Here is a 6,000-nt window from a genome sequence, read left to right as displayed (position 1 = left end):
AGACTTGAACACGCAAAGCCAGTTGCCAAGAATGTTTCGTTTGAAATCAACTTTGGCTTTTAATCTTAGACTCCACTGTCAAGTTTCTCCTCAGTTTCCTTCTCCCATCTTTCAGGACATTCCCCACCCTCACTCCCCACCTCAAAGCTTTCCTGTCCTCTGTCCCACTCCCCTCATTTGCAACTCTCCTTCCCACCTCCTTTTTCTTCTTTCCTCACCCCTTCCCTCTCCTTTCCTGGACTCTTTCTCCTGTTCTTTTATAACTTAAGTCCCTCTCCTTCTCCCCTCTCTCCTGAACAGTACCTCTAAGCTCCGTTCCCCCTTCTTAAGGAAATCAGCCAGGCCTCAGATGGAGCTGTCGTCCTGACAACCCAAAGGCGCATCAGGCTTTCATTGAGGCTGGCTGCTGCTGAAGGGGGCAGTTGTGCAAAGCGAGGGGCCACGTCGAGGGGAGGGCGGAGGGGATGACGTGGAGGGGCTGTTGAAAACCAGCAGGGTGGGGGGAGGGTGGGGGGGTGGGGGGGAGGTGCTGAGCTGAGAGAGCGCCAGGGACTGGGAGAAACAGGAAAGGGAGGAGGGGGAGAGAGGCTCTGGGTTGCTGCTGCTTCTGCTGCTGCTGCTGCTGTGTGGCTGTTTCTGTACACTCACTGGCAGGCTTGGTGCCGGCTCCCTCGCCCGCCCGCCCGCCAGCCTGGGAAAGTGGGTTACAGAGCGAAGGAGCTCAGCTCAGACACTGGCAGAGGAGCATCCAGTCACAGAGAGACCAAACAAGAACCCTTTCCTTTGGCTTCCTCTTCAGCTCTTCCAGAGGGCTTGCTATTTGCACTCTCTCTTTTGAAATTGTGTTGCTTTTACTTTTCACCCTTCTGCTTGGGTTTTATGAGGGCTTTGTTAAGTCTTAGAGGGAAAAGAGACTGAGCGAGGGAAAGAGAGAGGCAAAGTGGAAAGGACCATAAACTGGCAAAGCCCGCTCTGCGCTCGCTGTGGATGAAAGCCCCGTGTTGGTGAAGCCTCTCCTCGCGAGCAGCGCGCACCCCTCCAGAGCACCCCGCGGACCCGCACCTCGGCGTGGCCACCATGGTCAGGAGAGTTCAGCCGGATCGGAAACAGTTGCCACTGGTCCTACTGAGATTGCTCTGCCTTCTTCCCACAGGACTGCCTGTTCGCAGCGTGGATTTTAACCGAGGCACGGACAACATCACCGTGAGGCAGGGGGACACAGCCATCCTCAGGTAGGGCTTTCGGGCAACTTTTCTGCTGCGCGCGTCTACACGTGTGTGTGTGTGTGTGTGTGTGTTTGTGTGTGTGTGTGTGTGTGTGTCTGATCTCCTTGAACTCCAGCTCCTGATGCTGCAGGCTTGTGGTGTGTGTGTGTGTGGTGTGTGTGTGTGTGTCCCTGTTTTACTGACTGGTTGGCATTATAGCTAACAAAATTCAAGGGAATTCTGGTCCCTGTCAAGCAGCAGTGGTGTTGGTTAAATGTTGTTCGGTTCTTAGGACCTTGTTTCTCTTATCAAGGAAGCCTAACTTCACCCATGGCATTAGTGACTTCTGGGCAGTATTCTCACTATTGTAATTGCTGTGGCATTGCACTTGAGAGTTTTGTTGGGGGTCCTTAATTCTGAAAGAAAGGTTGTTGGATTATGGCTCTCAGAGAGTAGTACACAGTACTGCATTCTCCTTGCTCCTCCCGTGTCTGTGTGTGTGTGTGTGTGTTTTTCATGCCAACACACACACACACATACACACACACACACACATATCAAGGTTGTGTGTGAGGGTTTCTGATAGAAGACTTTCTGTAAGGATCTTCTAATTGACATGGAGGGCAATAAATCAATCTTAGAACTTTGGTTGGTTACTGAGCCTTTCCTGGAATGTGGATATAAATCAACACAAGATATGAAGAGCAGAAAGAAAAGGAATTTGCCAAATTGCTGATATTTAAGAGTAGGAGTGTTAAACACAGAGGTTGGGAGAGAATTAACCTGGCATAAAATGGATATTTCAAATTGATTATTGACTTCAAAGTCTTTTTTTCTGTGCAGCTCTGGCAAACTCTAAAATAATTTGAGATTGAAATTTGGAAAGAAGAGTCCCAAGTCCTTGGGAGTTTGACCCCTATCAGGTACTGTGAGCTAGAGAGACTCAAATGAGACCTAGTCATATTTTTATTTCTAAAATGCTCCAAGGTTATTTTTTGTGCTTCTCTTTTCTCTTCCTCCTCTCCACCAACTGTACCTACCCCTTGTTCTTTTTTCTAGCTTTCCTTGAATTTCTGGCAGATGCTAACAAAAAGAAAGAATCACTCTCCTTGGAGATCTTTTAAAAATCTCATTTCCTCCAAATAAAATGACCCAGTGTCAGTCTGTCTATCTAGGTAATATTGCTTGTTGTGGCAATAAAAACACAGTATACAATAGAAAATAAACCTCTAATCTGTGTGCAAGGAGCTGATAGTGCATAAACCCTGGGGCATCAGGGAGCAGTTCTCTAGCAGAGCTGCCGACAGCAGCAAAGTTTTCTTTCCTTTTCTCAGAAATAAATTTGGTTGGCTGTCACAGTGTCCTGCTTTGGGAGCTCTAGCCTTGTTAGAGACGAAAGTGTGTGTTGTGTGCCGTGCATTGCATGTGTGTGTGTTGTGTGGGTATGTGTTTCTCCAGATTGTAAAAAGTAAGAAAATGCTAATGTGTAAGCACTCCTTTCTTCATTTCCTGAGCTTTGGGTGATTACGAATCCCAAAGATCCTACTATCCAAAGCAGATTTTCCCTTCTAGCTCTTCAGCCTTATAAACCTGCATGTGTGATTTATCCACATGGAGTAATCAGATTTACAGAGTAATTTATCTGTTTGCAAAGGAATTTGGACATGGTGCAGAAAATGTTTTTGCAAACACACAAGCATGCCATTTCAATTGCTAACATTCATACTCCCTAACATCATTAACCCTTTAATGGTGAAGCACTCTATATAAATATATGCTATCCCTAGAAATTTTGTTCACTGGTTACAAGATTGAATATGAGAAAAATGAATAACTTGAATGTATATGTTTTTTATTTCAGTGTCCTTGAGCTTTGTAAGGTCTTTCTAAGTTAGCATCTCCTATACCTTAAACTACAGTTGTCTAAGAGTTAGATAAGTATAGAAATGTTAATTCAGAAGAATAAAAACATTCTTATGCTTTCATACAGAGGCAGTCTCACTGTATACATATCTATGGATGATACATATGTGCTTTTGTATGTCTATGGCGCAATAGAAACAGAGTTTTAAACATTACGCTTTAGCAGACATTACAGTGTGGAAATAGGGACTCTGAGAGAAAAAATAAACACAGAACCACTTATTCTCTGGGAAAGAAAAGACAGACAAACAGAGCATGCAAATAAGTCGCCTATGAAACACCATTTCTTTTCCAGACCTCACCTTACATGCCCTCTTTTTTATTTCCTTGCCTTGGACAAGGGTTTATTTTGGGGTTGGTGGAGCTTCATCAGAATTAACTATGGAGAGAATTCCCTTTGTCTTCTTAGCTGACCTTCTTCTCAATCTCTTTAAAACCGGTAAGCTTTCTGGGTCAGTTTCCTGGTGAAGAATGGTGCTCTTGCTTTCTGCTTATAAGGCCAGCCTGGGAAAGGTGTGTTTTCACTTTATTTGTGACATTTTACTGGGTGCATGAGCTTTCAGGGAAGGAAAGGAAGGAGAACTTGATTCATTGGAAGCCACAGTAGATGTCTGGCACCGAGAAAGTGAAATGGCTAGGAGAAAAAAATAATTCTCTTAGTGAGTTTGTGGCCCCGAATGATATGAGATGGCAACAGGAGACAAGGGAGGTTTGTAATTCTGGTAATCCAGTGACAGGAGTTTGGCTGTCTGTCCCCAAAACATTTACCTTCACTGACTTAAAGTTTTCTGTGAAACAAGAGTTTCTTTTGGGGATTGATGCTCATTTTTGTATAATTATGATCTTTAGTGTAATTATGCATCAGATAGGAGAGTGCACACTAGGCTTCAGGTCTTGCCCTCAATTTCTATCATTTTGAAAATAATAAAAACTATATAATTATGGTGACAAAATTGGAGGGAAAGAGAGGTAGCTTCATGTATACATACCTAACTCAATTATTTTCTAGAGGAGATTACAGACCTGTGTGAGAAATTATATAAAGAACTAAAGATAACCACAATACCAACTTCTGTCCCAGGGACAAAGAATCAAAGTGTGATTCACAGAGTAGTGGCGGCAGCAGCAGCAGCCTTGGCGGTCCTCCCTAAATAGAACAACCAGAATCTGCATTTATATTTGTGTGTACAGGAAAGAGTGAGACACGCTTATCCGCAGGACTTCAGTCATGAAGCTGCCTCAGGTGCTTTTCTAAACAGAGTCTACCTGCCTCATTACCAGCTCCCACAGGAGTAAGAGTTCAATTACAGGATAAGTTTCTAACACTGTTTCTTCCCTCCTACCCTCATACCCATAGAGATTCACCTCCTGCTTAATATTGGAAGGTTGAGACTATGTATTAATAGTTCTCTTACAAGTCAAAGAATAGCAGAAATAGAGGGTATTTCAAACCAACCTTTAAAATTTCATTTTTAATAGTCCTACTGACCATATTTTCAACATGAGTGGCAGATTTCTGAAAAGATAATAATAAAATATTTGGCCACAAAGAACCATGTTAGTTTTATAATACATTATATTATCACATATCTATTCATAAGGCAACTTTGTAAAACGTACATACACATGCGTATCTGGATATAAAACAAGTAGGCATGTGATAAAATACAGGGACTTCACACTTGTGATTTTAAATATTCTAAATTCAAGGTAATAAAATTTTATTTAGCTCACAATTCTGACCCTATCTGATGTTTACAGGATATTATAATACTTTTAATGATAATAACATTGTTCCCAGTTAAATGTTAGCGTACCTAACAAGTATTACAGATTCCCAAGGAAACTAAGTATCTAAATGAAGAATAGCTAATGTTTAGTTTTTTCAAAGTTGGGGTCTTTAATTCCCTGTTTGTTTCTACACCAAGGGGGGAAAAGAAGAAACAACAAAAGGAGATTTGATTATTTGATAGTGAAATATAAAGATCTTGTTCAAATTTCTGTTTATCTTCTGTAAATCATGTGGAATGGCAATATTCACTAATGAAGTGTCAACCCTCAAATTCTTGATACGATATGTGATTTTCTATGACTTACAATTCACTATTTGAAACAAACTGTGGGCATGGGCCTACTGGGTAAGTTTGTGACCATCATGAAATTTTCTTTTTCTGTAGTTAAATCACTAAATGTTATCAAAATTTGTTGGTTAGCCCTGATACTGTAAGGATCGTGCATTGCAGATAAATCCTTTATCAAATATACTTAGTAAATGATGGAGTATAGCATACTATATATCATCTAGGAATATGGCATATTATATACATTTTGTTAAAGAATATTTATGTACCTGTGAGCTTTATCATTTGTTGTCATTTATGGCCTGAGAAACAGAGTGGGCAAATCTCGCAAGAAAAGCAAATTGTGGCCACCTGTGTTTCTGTAAGTATGGGACATATAAGTGGGTTTATACACACATACAATACACAGGAGATTTTTATTTTATGTGGTTTGACTTAGAATGACGTATTTGTAGAATTGTGGAAAGAACCAAAGGTGACTGACTCATCCACTGAGTCACTGGTGAGGGTTAAACCTTTGTGTTTCTCAAAGCTGATTCCACATAACAGCAAACTCTGCCCAAAAAGGATTAGTGCATTTTACCCTGGTCTCTGAGAGTGCCAAATACAAAGGGCTGTGACTCCCCTGATAGGAGGTTGCCTCAATATCCTTGTCCCTCTCCCTGTCATCATCTGAGCCTCAGAGATATCCCTCCTCCAGGGCATAATTTACAGCTTATAGCCACTGGCCCTGTTTTTCTCTCAATGTCCTACCTCTTAGTTTGTACGACTCAGAAGATCTGGGCTCTGAA

General features: G+C 41.8%; 1 protein-coding gene across 4 annotated transcripts in view; it reads left to right on the top strand.

The window, feature by feature from the left end:
• Positions 1–621: 621 nt before the first annotated feature.
• The window catches only part of LSAMP (limbic system associated membrane protein), a 643,114-nt gene continuing 637,735 nt past the window's right edge, over positions 622–6,000 (top strand). For all 4 annotated transcript variants that reach the window (NM_002338.5, XM_017006383.3, NM_001318915.2 and 1 more), the window contains exon 1: positions 622–1,232. In NM_002338.5, coding sequence (NP_002329.2) covers positions 1,078–1,232 — 155 coding nt within the window. In that variant the 5' untranslated portion in view covers positions 622–1,077. The remainder of the gene's footprint in view (positions 1,233–6,000) is intronic.

This window comes from Homo sapiens, chromosome 3 (assembly GCF_000001405.40).
Source record: "Homo sapiens chromosome 3, GRCh38.p14 Primary Assembly".
NCBI lineage: Eukaryota > Metazoa > Chordata > Mammalia > Primates > Hominidae > Homo > Homo sapiens.
The sequence above is the reverse complement of the archived record's forward strand: the minus strand, read 5'-3'. Positions and strand labels throughout refer to the sequence as shown.